The 16,464-nt window shown below is 36.1% G+C and overlaps 1 non-coding gene across 1 annotated transcript; it reads left to right on the forward strand.

Moving 5' to 3' along the window:
- The first annotated feature begins 15,839 nt into the window (after window positions 1-15,839).
- MIR4704 (microRNA 4704) lies at window positions 15,840-15,914 on the forward strand. Its single transcript, NR_039853.1, has one exon. It is a non-coding gene; the product is annotated as a microRNA 4704 (primary transcript).
- The last annotated feature ends 550 nt before the right edge of the window (window positions 15,915-16,464 follow it).

Raw genomic sequence — 16,464 nt, forward strand, 5'->3', positions numbered from 1 at the left:
TTTGCTTACAGGAGAACTTCCCCGATTGCCTAAAACTTCATGTAGTAAGTAGAAACAATGTGATGGAGAACTCACTCAATTTCCTATATTATTACTTATACATACAGCTACACACACACACACACACACACACACATGCACACACACTGATATTCTTATATCCTATATCAGAAAAAAATTATTTCATATAATGCCAGTTAGCCAAATACATCCAACTGTGCCATTCTCAAGACACTGAACCCAAAAACTAATCCCCTGCCTTTATTTTGACTCTTTTTATTCCTCATAAAAACTTGCTGTCGAACAGCTTCTCAAGTCAACTTAAAAATAACAGCCCATAACAATAAAAACAAAATATTCCCCTTGATTTGAATTATTGTCTTCCTTCCATCTCAGTCCTGGAAGCAAAACAAGATGTCTGTATCTGTTGTCTACTTTTTTTTTTTTTTGTATATCTTTCCCTTCTCTTTTCTTTTCTCATTTGTCATTCACCCATCTTGCATTAAGTTTATATCATCATCTCTATTCGACGTTGAGGATACAGAGACAAACAGGTAATGGTTCCTGCTGTCAAAGGGCTGGCTCACTTATAATGTAACAGAAAGAGAGCAATAAGTGTAGATTAATGGGTTCAATTAAATATTATAGTGCAATGGGACAAAATGAGAATGCACTACTCTACGTCAGTGGGCCAAAAAAAAAAAATTAAAAGACAGGAAAAGGGCCTTGAAAAAAAATGAGTACATATTTAGCTCTTGAAGGGAATCAGAACATACAATAGAAGGGAAATCAAAGTAGAAAGAGAAGCAAAAACAAAGTCAATGATACGAAAGAGCTTTGGATGTTTGAAAGCCTTCAAGCCATTATACATGGCATAAAGATGGGAGGTAAGGGTTAGAGATGGGGGGACGTCAAAGAGATAAAGCTAAAGGGGTAAGCATAGATTAGAGATGAAAGCATCTTCTGTATTACGTTGAGTTTAGAATATATTATAAAGAAAATAAGAAATGACTTAGTAATGAAAATCCTGGGTAAATGTTTCAATAGGTTTGCTATATAACAAACCACTCCAATACTTAGTGACTTAAGAAATGCTTATGTCAGTTGGACTGTTCTGATCTGGTCTGATTCAGCTGATCTCTCTATAGTCAACTAGTGCTTCAACTGGGATTAGATGGCCCCACATATATGTCTGATGGTAGGCTTGATGGCAGCTCAGATAATAGGATGACTTGGCCATGTGTCTCTTACCATCCAAGAGACTATCTCAAGCTTTTTTACATGATAGGAATCTCAGAATAGCAAGAGCAGACAAGCCCCAATGAAAAAGTATTTCTTAAGTCTCTGCTTATATTACATTGGTATTGCTCCATTAGCCAAGTTAATTCACATAAAGAAGGACAGAATCTGTGTAGGAATAAATTACCTAAGAGCATGGATACAAGTGTAGACATAGTTGTAGTCATTTATTGTGAACAAAGACCAGAGCAAGGAACCAGAACTTTATAGCATAGAATATATTTATAGCATAGAATATAATGTGTTATTTACAAATTGTTTATAACCAACTGATTGACCAGAATCACATCTTATTGTATCTTTTGTCCCCTGCAGGCATGCAATCTGCCCTTAACAGTTGTGAGTCTTAAAGCCAGAGTACAAATGGAGATTTATATAACATATGTCTAAATATTTAAAACTTACCAATTAAGCTAACAAAATGTTAAATACACCACAGACTAGTCTTCTACTTTGACAACTATAAGTTCATAATGACCTGAAAGGCTAACTTCAAATTTTTTGGACCCCTTGTAGTTTCTTGCTGGAATGTGGATGCCAAGGAGGGCTGGTCCACAGCATCCACCACTATGCTTTTCCCTCCAGCTCCAGCGCTGTGAGAAGCTTCATACCCATACATTCGTTAAGCACAGTCCAACATGTCCAACTTCCTTATTCATCTCCAAAAGGCAAAAACTCACATGCTGGGCCTCAGGTGGTGCATAACTACGATGTGCTTTTCCTCTATTGGATCAGGATGGAGCAGAGAATTTGCAAGTCCTGGAAATGGATGTGGAGCCATTTCGACAGGGAATTTGGAATCTAGAAAATAATCTAGAAATTGGGGTGTGGCTCTGACCATGTAGATTTCCTGCCCCTTGAACAGGGGTGCCACTGGAGAGCACAGGACTAAGATAGAGAACCTCTTGTCATAGTTTATTGGTGGTTATTTCAGGTGAGAACATAGGAATAAAGATAGGTTCTTTTTCTTTACTTTGGTATCTACTTCTATAAAGAGCTACATGGACACAGGGAGGGGAACATCACACATCAGGGCCTGTCAGGGTTGAGGGGCAAGGGGAGGGATAGCATTCTGAGAAATAACTAATGCATATGGGGCTTAAAACCTAGATGATGGGTTGATGGGTGCAGCAAACCACCATGGCACATGTATACCTATGTAACAAACCTGCATGTTCTGCACATGTGTCCCAGAACTTAAAGTATAATTAAAAAAAAAAAAAGAAAAGAAAAAAAAAGAGCTGAATCAGAACTGAAAATCAGAAAACCTGGGTAAGGGGCTCTCTGATGAATTTCTATGTAAACAATTTAAAAAGAATACAAATAAAAATTCAAAAACACAGAAAAAGGAAGCAATTTCAGTAGTCATGATACCACAGACAGAACGTGAACCAATCACTATCACCTTCTTTTCTTTACATGTTAATCACTGCAAAATCTTGCTTTTCTACCAGATCCTCTACTTAAATTGCTCTGGCATCAAAACCAATAGATATTTCTCAGGACTTACCTTACTGACAATATTTGTGGTCCAACAGCAGTCTTTTCTATCTTTTTGCAACAGTGAGCATATGACCCAGGCCAGACAGTAGAAATATGTCATCCTCTTTGAGTCGTCATGTGATCTAAGTAGGACCAAACAGAGTCTTCCTTCAGAATGTATATGGATGCTGGAGGAAAGAGAGAAATATATCCTTCCCCTGTTCTCCCCAGGAATAAAAGATCAGCCCAGATCTTCTAAGAAAAAAGGAGCAGAAGAGAGAGGGAGACAGGGAGAGAAAACATAAACTCGCCATGAATGAACCAGTTAGCCATTATACCAGATTTCTCTTTAATATGAAAAATAAATTATTAATGCAGATATTTGTTGGTTTTTAAAAATTTTATTATTATTATACTTTAAGTTTTAGGGTACATGTGCACAATGTGCAGGTTTGTTACATATGTATACATGTGCCATGTTGGTGTGCTGCACCCATTAACTCGTCATTTAGCATTAGGTATATCTCCTAATGCTAGCATTAGGAGATAGTATTTGTTGCTTTAAATGGTTTGAATTAGGTCTGTATCTCAAACTAATATGTTCCAACACAACTGCCCTTGTAGTATGCAACACCCTTGAATATTTTCTTTATTTTTTAAATCTTCCTTTCCTAAGCTTCCAAGATTCCTGTTCTCTCTCTTGCTTTAGTTAACAATACAGGTACTGTATTAGTCAATTTTCATGCTGCTGATAAAGACATACCCGAGACTGGGTAATTTACAAAAGAAAGAGGTTTAATTGAACTTAACAGTTCCATGTGTCTGGGATGCCTCACAATCATGACAGAAGGCAAGGAGAAGCAAGTCATGTCTTACATGGATTGTAGCACGCAAAGAGAGAGAGCTTGTGCAGGGAGACTCCCATTTTTCAAAACCATCAGATCTAGTGAGACTTATTCACTATCACAAGACCAGCATGGGAAAGACTTGCCCCCATGATTCAATCACCTCCCTCTGGGTCCCTCCCACAACACATGAGAATTCAAGATGAGAGTTTGGTGGGGACACAGACAAACCATACCAGGTAATGATGTTTTCTTCTATCTGTCCCTTGAGTGTGAATGTTTCTCAGCCCATAGTTGTTTCATTCAATAGACTGTCTCTTGATAAAAACACACCAAATCTTATCACTAATGTTTAAGCCAGGTCCCTAAATATAGAAAACAGATAAAAATTCATTGCATTTCCTGTAATTTAGCTCAGGAATTGCTTTCAGTATCTACTTGCTCAAATTCCCATCCTTTGTCATGTACTGCTGTTTTTAATCATTTGAACCTAGCTTCACCTACTGTCTCTTATTTATTTATTTTAGTTTCTCTTCTCTTCTTTACTCTTTTTTGTAACTACAATTCCTATTAATTCTGGAAGAGATAAACTGATTTTGGAACCATTCCCCAGTTCATTTCTTTTTCCCATAAAAGAAAGGATATATTTCTTTCTTTCCTCCAAATGATATATCAAACCTTATTCATAGGGGAAAAAGAAGATTTGCCATTTAATCAGTGGTCCTCAAAATTTAGCAGGTATGAGAATCACCTGAAGAACTTGTTAAGACACAGAACACTGGTCTTGCTCTTAAAGTTTCTGATTCATTAGATCTGGGGTGAAACATGAGAATTTAAATTTCCAATAAATTCATAGGTAATGCTGTTTTTCTTGGTCTGGGTAATAGGAGTAGTTCCAGTCTATTATATATTGTTTGTTATTTTCTTTATTGCAAACCTTTATATCATGTGCTCTTTCTGAGTGTGGATAAAAGTTGTACCTTTATTCTAACCAATAGAATATGGCAAATGTGATGGGGTATTACCTTATCACCGTGTTATGATACATAGGACTCCGTTTCAGCAGAAAGGAGAGAGAGAGGTTCTCCTGCTGTCTTTGAAGAAACAAGCAGTCATGTCACAAACTGCCTATGCAGAAGGCCACGTGGCCAAGATGTGAGGGTAGTCTCTAAAACTTGAAATTAGGTTCCAGGCAATAGCTAATAAAAAGCTGGGAACTTCAGTCAGACAATCACATGGAAATGCATTCTATAAAATACCTGAATAAACCTGAAGGAATCTGAATGCAGTGGATTTTTCCTTAGTTAAGCATCCAGATGCAAACACACCCTTGTGTGTTTTCACCTTCTTTGCAGCTATGGGAGACCCTGAGCAGAGGACTTGGTCAGAAGCCAAGTGTGGACTCTGACCCATGACAACTGTGAAATAATACATGTATGTGGTTTGAAACTTCTAAGTTTGTATTGCAAACAACATCTTCTAAAAATATTATCCCCAGAACCAACCTCTCCAAACTTCTATCACCTATAGGATAACATCTAAATACCTTATTAGGGTGCATAAGGTTCTTTATCAAAAGGGTCTCACTTCTGTCTGTAGCCTCAGTGTCCAAGGAGTTGACCCTTCTTCTTGCTATTTCAACTTTTATCTTCAAATTTGGAACATGCTCTAATAGATAAAGATCAGAATCTTTCAATACTTTTTCACTGAGGATTCCTCATTCTTTACCCACACTTAATCCCTTCAAAATTTATTTCCAGTGTTGTCATCTTCTGGGAAATCTACCCAGACACTACCCATCAACTCGACTCCTGGGCCTGAATTAATTATCCATAGCCTTTGACTCTAAGCACATATTTACCTCTATTTTTACAGTTAAAACATTGTCTTGCAAAGTTAGTTTGCTTTTCTGTCTTCCCTTGTTGATTTCAGGAACTTGAGAGCAAGTAGTTTCCCCTAGTTAATACCTCAGATGCCTGTCTACAAAGATGGTACATATTTAAAGGTTCAATCATGAGTAATGGTTTATAAGAAATCCATATATATTTTTCAGAAGGACATTACTTATTAAAATACTACTGATGCAAAAAATAGTAGCCTTGGTAGAGAAAAATATATGCAACATAGACTAAATAGTATCTGATATCATAAAGTCATGGCCATCCCCTAACAGGGATGGGAAATAAAGAACAATAGGAGGTATTTGTTTAGCCATGTTAGGTAGGTCAAACACTGAGTTACATGTGTATTTTCCAGGGACTCTATGATGCCAGTTTATAATATGCTGTTTTGTACTGAGCTAATACCACAAATTTCAGTTTTATACAGTTCTGCATGGATACGCTCTTTGAATGAATCAACTATTGTCATCACTTTTGATGGAAGATATTTATTTAATTAAATTACTAAATAAATAATCACAAATTTTAAAATAACACAATTTTAAATGTACTATATAGTGAACACATTATTGAGGTTTTAAAAAACACTCATCTATTACATTTTCTGTTTCCCTAAAAAGAAATCTCATCCTTTCATAGTTTTTCCTCTGTTTTCTGGGAAATTAGATTTAACCAATGTAATAGCATTCAGATTTATATTTAGAGACCTCACATGAGGAAAATTTTTCATTTCTAGTCTGATTCCTCTGCGTCCATGAGATGTATATTATCCTTAAAAATATTATTCAATATAGTAATCACATTGAATTCTTCTTTTGCCATTATGCCGCAGAGCAAAAAGCTGACGTCATGTGATGGTCCTAATAAAGTCACTTGTAATGCACAGACAATTACACAGAAACCATAAGAAAAAGGCACCATTACATAAAGATAGGTAATATGACAATATAATTATAATTTAAATGAGACCATTATCCTTAATAAATCAAACCTATATACACTTGGAAAGAGAAAACCACAGTCTTTCAATATAGCTATTTATAGATATCCCAAATATTCTTTCTTATAAAAAGAATTTAAATTGCAAAGCATAAAAGGGAAAAAGATCACACCACTTGGCTTGTGTTGATATGTTGACACTGCTTGTTACGTCCTGAGTTATGTCCTCAAAAATGTTTATGCTAAAGTTCTAACCCCCAGTGTCTCAGAATGTAAATATATCTCTAGGCAGGGCCTTTAAAGAGGTAACGAAGTTAAAGTAAGGCTTTAGGATGATGTCCCTATAAGAAGATTAGGATATAAAGAGAGACACTAGGGGTGGACACACTCAGAGAAAAGGCCGTGTGAAGACACACTGAAAAAGTGATGATCTGCAAGCCAAGGAGAGAGTCTCAGAAGAATCCAAACTTCTCTGCACCTTGATCTTGGATTTCCAGCCTCCGGAAGTCTGAGAAAATAAATGTCTATTAAAGTTGGCCAGTCTGTGGTATTTTGTTGTGGCAGCCATAGCAAAGTAATAAACTGCCCCATTTTCCCTCAGTACTAACAAGGTCATGGTAGCAACAATGACAAAATAGAAACATATTTCTCTAAGAGTGAAAGAAAAAATAATTTTTGATGCTATAAATATTTCTGAGAAGCCATTTTAAAAATGATACATAAACTTAGATTTATTCTTCTTAATACTAGTGTTGTTTTTTCTCTCTTGTTTTCAACTTAGAACAAATCTCTGTCTGGTTTTGTGCAGGAGCACTAATCTGAGTGTATTACAATAAAATTACAAAAAAATGATAAATATATTTAGTATATCTCTAAAGTAATTACTTTAGCAATAAAATACAACAATCAGGAAAGATGATGCTTTTATTCTAAAACCTATGCCAGAATATTGCAACACGAATAGCCTGTATAAGGTACAAGAGTTTTTTTTTTTTTAAAAAAAATTGCTTTGTTAACTATTCCTGTAATGACAACTTGACATTTGGTCTTTACAATTAAAATGATAAGTATCAGATTAAGAAAATTTGAAGTACCTCCTTTTTTATAAACAGGTATAAAAATTAACAGCTGACAAATTTTTTAATCTTGGCCACCTGTATTATACCTGGCATGATTTAATTAACACAAAATGAAAAATACACATTTCCAAGTATCGCTACTGAATAGGTTTTCCTAGGCTGATAATTGAACTCATAAAATATGTAATTATTATTCAGATAAAGAAAATGAATATATTGTTATCTATTAATACATTATGACCCTAAAGCCCTTTGTTAAACTCTTTATTCCTTTATGAATAAAAATCTCACAGTTTCTTTTACTATATTCTTAATATAAAGGAGCAGTATTTTATGATCATTATTATATAAGAAGACACTTGTTCTATACAAAATTGAATTCCACTAGTCACAGATCATTTTTAAGGTAGTTAAGCTACTATAGTAGCAGATATTATACCTTGAAGTCATTGAACTCATACCAGCTGACAAGCTAACAGAAAATTGAAAGACAATTTTCAATACTATGCTCCAACTAAATGCCAATTTAGAAACTAAATATAAATCCTGGATTCTGTTTGCACTTTGAAAATTACATTCCAAAGTTTAACAGTAGAATGAAATTTTTTGTAAGTTCTATAGTCTCAAGTCTTGAGGCTTAGGCAAAGTGTGTTCCAAAAGAATAGGTGCTATTACTTAAAATGCAAAAAAAATTTCTAAAGCTATACATACCCGTAAAACTTCTTAGGTAAAGAAACAACAACAACAAAGCAGTATTTGAAATGCTGAATTTCTTTATCAGGATAACTGGGAAAATATGAAATTATAAAACTACAGTTTCTACTGCTAGGAAAGAATGACCAGTGCTTACCACACAGAATCTTAGGTGATTCATTCAGTGGACATTTATGGAAAATTATGAGTCAGACACTAGGCTATCTACCAGAGAATACCAAGACACAGCCATTAGGCTCAAAGCGCTCACAAACTATTGGGGAAGCAGACAGAAAAAAAAACAATGACAACCCAGTGTTGTACGAAATAAGCAAGTGGTGCTTTGGAAGACCACAGAAAAAGAATTAACACAGACGAGGTATGTGAGTGAGAGTGATTCCTTGCAGAAAGGGATGTACATGATGAGCTTTACAGAATGAGTAGGAAGTTGGCTAGAGGGGAAATTAAGTGCAAAGCACAGAAGCTTAAATGTTATGGTTTATAAACTGGTGACTACAGTGGCAAAGGGGAAGAGACAAGTAGTCAATGAAAGAAATTATAAAGAAATATATTTGTAAAATATATGGAATTCTAGCAAAAGGTAATATTAGGAATTATTGTTTAGGGTAGCAACTAAAAATGCTGTATTTTTGTGCTTTAATACTGGGATTGAGAACATTACTTCTTCTCCCTTTAGTATACTCCTTGAAGTTGTAATAGTAGTATCTACTTTATAGCTGTGTTGTGATGAATAAATTAATTTATATAGGAAAAGAGCAAGGCATCAAGGCTAATACATAGTAAGTACTCAATAATTTGACTCAACACCTAAGAAACAGATAATCCAGTTGTACTATGGAAAGATTGCCCTCAAAGCAAGATCTAGAATGATTCATAAAGGGACAAAATAGCAGGTGGCAAGGATTTCTAGGGGCTGATGTAGTAACCAGGTGTCTTAGTTCAGGCTACTATAAGACTGGGTAGCTTACAAAACAAACACTTATTTGTTATAACTCTGAATGCAGAAAGTGAGGCTGGAGATTAGGTTTCCAGTGTGGTCAGGTTATTGGTGAGGCCTAGATTCTTGGTTATATCTTCTCACGGCATTTCCTTGCTATGTGCACACAGAAAAACAAATCTCCTGTCTCTTCTTCTTTTAATAACTGGTTTATACTCATCATAAGGGCTTCACCATCATAACCTCATCAAATCTAATCACCTCCCAAAAGCCCCACTTCCAAATACCATCACATTGGGCATTAGAAAGTTAACATATAAGGCTTGGGGTGGGGGAGCAAAACAAACATTTGGTCCATAGCACCAGGTGAGAATTAAAGCTATCCATGAGAGAGTGGGAAGGGATGATGAGTTGGAGAGAGATTTGAAAGCTATTAAGAAGTAGAACTAGAAAACAGTTAGGGGGAGAGGTTCAAGATGGCTGACTAAAAACAGCTGTGGTCTGTCTCTTCCACAGAGAAGAACCAAAATATTTAGTAGATATTCACACTTTGAATAGATCATCTGAGAGAGAACACTGGGATTCAACAGAGAGGCAATAAAAAATACAAAGTTTGAAGGAGGGGGAAGCAGGGTTGCTCAGTCAGGGTTGCTGGGGCCTGGAACTGCTCCCTAGCCCAGGGAAGGGATAAATGAAAGACTTTGAATAGCTCATCTGAGAGAGAACACTGGGATTCAACAGAGAGGCAATAAAAAATACAAAGCGTGAAGGAGGGGGAAGCAGGGTTGCTCAGTCAGGATTGCTGGGGCCTGGAGCTGCTCCCTAGCCCAGGGAAGGGATAAGTGAAAGACCTCCAGGGCTCCACATTTCTGCCACAGACCTTTACAATCCAGCTACAAGAGAGCCCCTCAACCCTCACAGGCCTCTACTTGGCATAGGAAGCTGCCTGGAGATCACAGAGAGACACTGCTCTAACTCATGTAAAGTCCGACTGGCTTCCTAGCACTGGACAACTGCAGCATGGCACCATTCTGGGTGCCTGTCTACTTCTATTCAACTTAGTACTGGAAGTCCCAGCTAGAGCAATCAGGCAAAAGAAGTAAAAGGTATCCAAATTTGAAAAGAGGAAGTGAAGTTAGCTCTGTTTGCTGAAGATATGATTTTATAACTAGAAAACCATAAGGTTCTCTACAAAAGACCTCTAGATTTGGTAAATGACTTCAGTAAAGTTTCAGGATACAAAATCAACATACAAAAATCAGTACCATTTTTATATATCAATAAGAGTCAAGCTGAGAACCAAATAAAGAATTCAATCCCATTTACCATAGCTATGAAAAAATTAAAAACTAGGAATGCAATTAAACAAGAAGGTAACAGATCTCTACAAGAACTACAAAATACTGCTGAAAGAAATTGTAGATGACATACACAAATGAAAAAACATCCCATGCTCATGGATTAGAAGAATCAATATTGTTAAAATGACCATACTGCCCAAAGCAATCTACAGATTCAATGTAATTCCTATCTGAGTATTGACATTATATTCACAAAATTCGGAAAAAAAAATCCTAAAATTCATAGGAAACAAAAACAGCCCAAACAGCCAAAGCAAAATCTTAACCAAAAGAACAAAGCTGGAGGTATCATATACCAGACTTCAAGTTATACTATGAGACTACAGCAACCAAAACAGTGTGGTACTCATATCAAAACAGACACAGATCAATGGAACAGAATAGAGATTCCAGAAATAAAGCTACACACCTACCACCAACTGATCTTTGACAAAGTTGACAAAAATATACACTGAGGAACAGAGATCCAATTAATAAATGGTCCTGGGGAAATTGGATAGCCATATGTAGAAGAATGAAACCTGTTACCATATACAAAAATTAACTCAAGATGTATTAAAGACTTAAACATAAAACCTGACATTATAAAACAGATTAGAAGAATACCTAGGAAAAACTCTTCTGGACATTGGTCTAGGCAAAAAATTTATGACTAAGTTCTCAAACGCAACAAAAACAAAAATAGACAAATGAGACTTAATTAAACTAAAAACCTTCTGCACAGCAAAAATGTAATCATCAGAGTAAACAGAAAATCTGCATAAAGGGAGAAAATACTTGCAAACTATACATCCATCACAGGGCTAATATCTAGAATCTAGAAGGAACTCAAACACCTCAACAAGAAAAAAAATTACCCCATTAAACAGTGGGCAGAGGATATGAACATTTTTTTCTCAAAAGAAGACATACAAGCAGCCAACAAACATGAAAACAGGCTCAACATCACTAATCATCAGAGAAATGCAAATTAAAATCACAGTGCGATATCCTCTTACAGCAGTCAGAATGGCTATTATTAAAAAGTCAAAAAACAACGGATGTTGGTGAGGATGCAAAGAAAAGGGAATGCCTATACACAGTTGTTGGGAATGTAAATTAGTACACCCTCTATTGAAAATAGTATGGATATTTCTCAAATAATTAAAAATAGAGCTACCATTTGATCCAGCAATCCTACTATTGAGTTTATACACAAAGGAAAATAAAGTATCATATCAAAAAGACAACTGTATTCATGTATTTATAGCATCACTATTTACAATAGCAAAATTATAGAATCGACTTAAATGTCCATCAGTGGATAATTGAATAAAGAGAATGTTATACACACACGTACATACACACATACTCACACAAAGATATATATATATATATATATATATGCAATATACACTGTACATATGGATATAGTTCGTGGAAAAATAAACATTGGAGTCTTCAAAAGGTGGGAGTGTGGGAGGTGGGTGTGGTATGTGAAATTACCTATTGGGTGCAATGCACACTGTTAGGGTGATAGTTATGCTAAAAGCCAAGACTTCACTACTATATCTATGGAACAAAAATGCACTATACTCCCTAAATCCATAAAAATTTTAAAAAATTAGAACCTATACAGCCTGATGCCCTAATGTAGGAAGTGAAAAAGGAAAATGAAAGATGACTTCCAGGTGTGTGCAGGTGCTATTGATTAACAAGAAATACTGGAGAAAATGAGTAATTATGAGAGAACACATTGAACTCAGATTGAGAACTTTTTTTATTTTAGATGGCTGTTAAGCTTTGGAGCTACATCTAAACTGAAATAAAAATTTGTAATAACAAGCAAATTATTCTACACTTCTTGGTTAACATTCCCTTTAATATCCAAAGAAAGTTGCTAGAGGCCCATTCCATGTAATTATAAAAGTCAAAGAATTTCATAAATGTTGTTAGGCTTCTAAAGAAGTTACTCTCATGTTTTTCTACCAAATTTTTGTTTCAAATACATTATTGATTTGCACTTGTTTTACTTTCTATAGTGGCTGCCCTTCCTCTGTCACTTGGCCACTTCTGAATGCTTTGACCTTTCTTCCCGTTTCCCAAAGCTCCACCAACAAGGTTTGTGGTACAAGTTGACTATCTCTTATGCAAAAACTTGGGACCAGAAGTGTTTTAGATTTAAGATTTTCTCAGATTTTGGAATATTTGCATTACTATTACTGGTTAAGTAGCTCTTTTTTGTTTTTTGTTTTTTAGATGGAGTCTTGCTGTCTTGCCCAGGCTGGAGTTCAGTGGCACAGTCTCAGCTCAGTACAACCTCTGCCTCCTGGGTTCAAGTGAGTCTCCTGCCTCAGCCTCCCGAGTAGCTGGGATTACAGGCATGCATCACCATGCCTAGCTAATTTTTTCTACTTTTAGTAAAAATGGAATTTCGCCATGTTGGCCAGGCTGGTCTCAAACTCCTAACCTCAAGGGATTCACCTGCCTCGACCTCCCAAAATGCTGGAATTACAGGCATGAGCCACCCTGCTGGGCCATACATCCCAAATTTGAAAGACGATTTTCTTTAAGCATCAGGTTGGTCCTCAAAATGTTTCAGATTTTGGAGCATTCCAGATTTCAGATTACCAAATTTGGGATACTCTGCTTTAATACGAACTTTTCACTGCTATGTTTGATAAATAACAACAATCACAAAACAACATAAAAAAGAAATCACTTAAATATTCAGTATGACTGTTAAAAATTTTCTTAGCTACCTACACCACAGGGACCCTCTTCATGGCTGGATTTCTTTTTCTTTTCTTTTCTTTTCTTTTCTTTTCTTTTCTTTTCTTTTCTTTTCTTTTCTTTTTTCTCTTCTCTTCTCTTCTCTTCTCTTCTCTTCTCTTCTCTCTTCTTTTTAGGCCAGATATTGTTCTATCACTCAGACGAGTGCAATGGCATCATCAGAGCTCACTGCAGCATAGACCTCCTGTGCTCAAATGATCCTTCCACCTCATCCAGCCAAGCAGCTGGAACTACAGGTATGTACCATCAAGTCTTGCTATATTGCTGGGATTGAACTCCTGGCCTCAAGCAATTCTCCCAGCTCAGTCTCTCAAAGGGCTGAGATGATGAGCATATGGCACCACAACCAGCCAATATTTCTCGTTAGGTCTCAAGCAGTCATTGAATATCTGCATCCATTCTGCTTCTCTAAAAACTTCTTTACACATCCCTTTTTGATTTTACTATTTGACATCTCTAAAATCTCTTTCTTTTTAAGAGCCAAATCAATAAATGAAGAGACTAATTTCACTGTCAATGCCTTGTCGTTCTTCACTTAGGAGAAATAGGGTAAAAGCAAAACCTCATTACACTACTTTTCTCAATCAAAAACTTTATCAACTTCAGGTTTCCATTCTTACTAATACCAAGAATCAAGAAAACATTCATTTGTTCTTAACTTAACTAGCTCAAATTCTCAGGAAGATGTGTTGGCTACCAACTTGGATTTGTCTTGATAGTAGAATGTGTGGTTCAAGTTAGAGAGTACACGAGAAAATCCAGGGTCAACTGGTTATTTAAAAAATTCTCACTAAAGAGTTTAGTGTCAGAAGAAATGATTTATCAGACTCTGGAACACAGAAAGAAGTACCTAAGAAGAAAAACACCCAACCTCACTAATATGATTTTCATTCTGTGCACAAATAGGTTATTGCTTTGAAACAGGTCAGAGTCTTGAGCTCCAAACAAAGTGGAGCTGTGACTGTGAAGAGTGTGTGTTGATGGGTGCAGAGGTAATGAGATTGCAAACTCAGAAGAAAAGCAAAAGAAAAACAAAAATGAAGAAATCTTGGACTGATGCCTATTTTTTTCTTTCTGTAACTGCGGCCCTTTTTGGAGGAGTTCTAACGATGGGTTAAACCACAAGGAGAAAATTAAACTTCTCTTAAATGTAGTTAAAATCCCTAGAGAGACATGAGTTTGTCACGACTGCCTGAGAAGATATTGGCTGGGATTAAATATTGAATGTGTCTGCCAACAATGACTGCCTGACGTGACACACGAGAGTTTCTCAGTGAGGAAAAAAAAGACCATGTAAGAGTACATGGATTTTATATTTTTCTGTGACTTAGATGTTGGTACCATTTATTAGACGAAAAGAAAAGTGCTGGAGCAGTTGGGGATTTTAAGAAACTACAATTATTGAAATAAGAGCTAAGTGTGATAGGAGGTAAAACCAACTGGGGATATGTAAGAGGTTTGCTGATAAATGTTTAGGGCAGTGGGGAAATAGGATTCCATAGATCCTTTACTGCCAGCAACCTGGTTACATGCTTTTTCTTGATCATAGATAAATAACTTAACTGTAGAAGGTAAGAAGACAAATGGAAGGAGTTAACAGATATTTGAAGATATGCAGATGGTGGGAGAAAGTTCAATGGTAATTGAGAATTGGTTCGCTGACAAGAGGGTTTTCCATAAGAAATAGTCTCTCTATTGGTTTAGAAAAAGTGTAGGACATTAGTAATAAGCTTTTGAATCTCCAAATTATGCCCAATAAATATTCGAATTAGAGTTGCTTCCAGACAGAGATGCCATTCATTTGGGAAGTTTCCCACCCCCCTTCAAATTTCTGAATGGGACAATAGAGGTAGAACCCAGACAACTGGGACATCTTCATAAAATATTCTTGAACATTCATGAGTTGAGTTTAGTGCTATTTGGAAGGAAACTGGTAAGCCTGAGAAAGGCACTAAATTGATAATGAAACACTAAAAAATAGCTTATAATTTGGTGGCATTAATAATTTCAGGTACTCTTTTATGTTTATCTACATTATACCATTTAATAGTCAGAATATACCTATGAAGTAGGTACTATTATTATTATCATTCTACAGATAAGGCAGATAAGGAGATTGAGACACAGAGATATTAAGACTCATACTTAAAGTCACACAAGCAAACGTTAGAACCTGGACTTCAGAGATCTGGCCAGGATCCTGTTCAGTACTTTCGATGTTACTCTAATTCTTCTCTAATTTGGGTTTGCTTCATGAATGTTTCTATATGCTGACATCTTTAAACTTCTGTTTTCTTATCTTTAAAGTTGGAAAAATATTTTATATTTTTTCTGATTATCTCTTGCTCCATAGTAAATTACCCTAAAACAGTAGCTTAAAACAATACCTTTAATTGATTTCATTCACACATTTTTTTCTGCCAAGCCTCGGGCAGCAGTCTTTCTCGAGTCTTTTCTATGGTTGTAGTCAGTTGGTGGCTGGGACTGGAGTCATCTTAAGGATGAATCTTCTTATCCTAGACACTAGGCATGTGAGTGATTGTCTTCCTCACTCAATCAGTCACATATCTAGTGTCTAGAATGAGAAGACTCAAACATCTGGGGGCTAGAACACCTCTTGTCTCTTGATCATCTCTCTGTGTGATCTCACCATGTGTATATGTGATCTCCAGCTGGCCTCTCTAACACATAGTAACTTCAATGAAACCAGACTTCTTATATTGTAGCTTAGGGTTTCAAAACCCAAGACAAAAAGAGCCAGGTAGAAACTGTATTGACTCAAATAACCTAACCTGAAAAGTCCTGTAGTGTCACTAAATTGTACTCTATTCCTTAGACAATTCACTAAGGTCAGTCCATATTCAAGAGGAGGGGAGTTAGACTAACATCTTGAGTGTGGTAGGCTAAATAATGCCTCCCACCCCCCACAAAAGATGCCACTTTCTAATCTCAGAGATCTATGCTATGCTTTACATGGCAAAGGAAACTTTGCAGATATGATTAAGTTAAGGATCTTGAGATGGAGAGATTATCCTGGATAATCCAGGCAGGCTTAATGTAATCACAAAAGGTTCTAATAAGAGAGAGCAGGAGAGTCAGAGTCAGAGAAGGAGATGAGATGACAAAAGCTGAGGT

Source organism: Homo sapiens, chromosome 13, assembly GCF_000001405.40.
Source record: "Homo sapiens chromosome 13, GRCh38.p14 Primary Assembly".
NCBI lineage: Eukaryota > Metazoa > Chordata > Mammalia > Primates > Hominidae > Homo > Homo sapiens.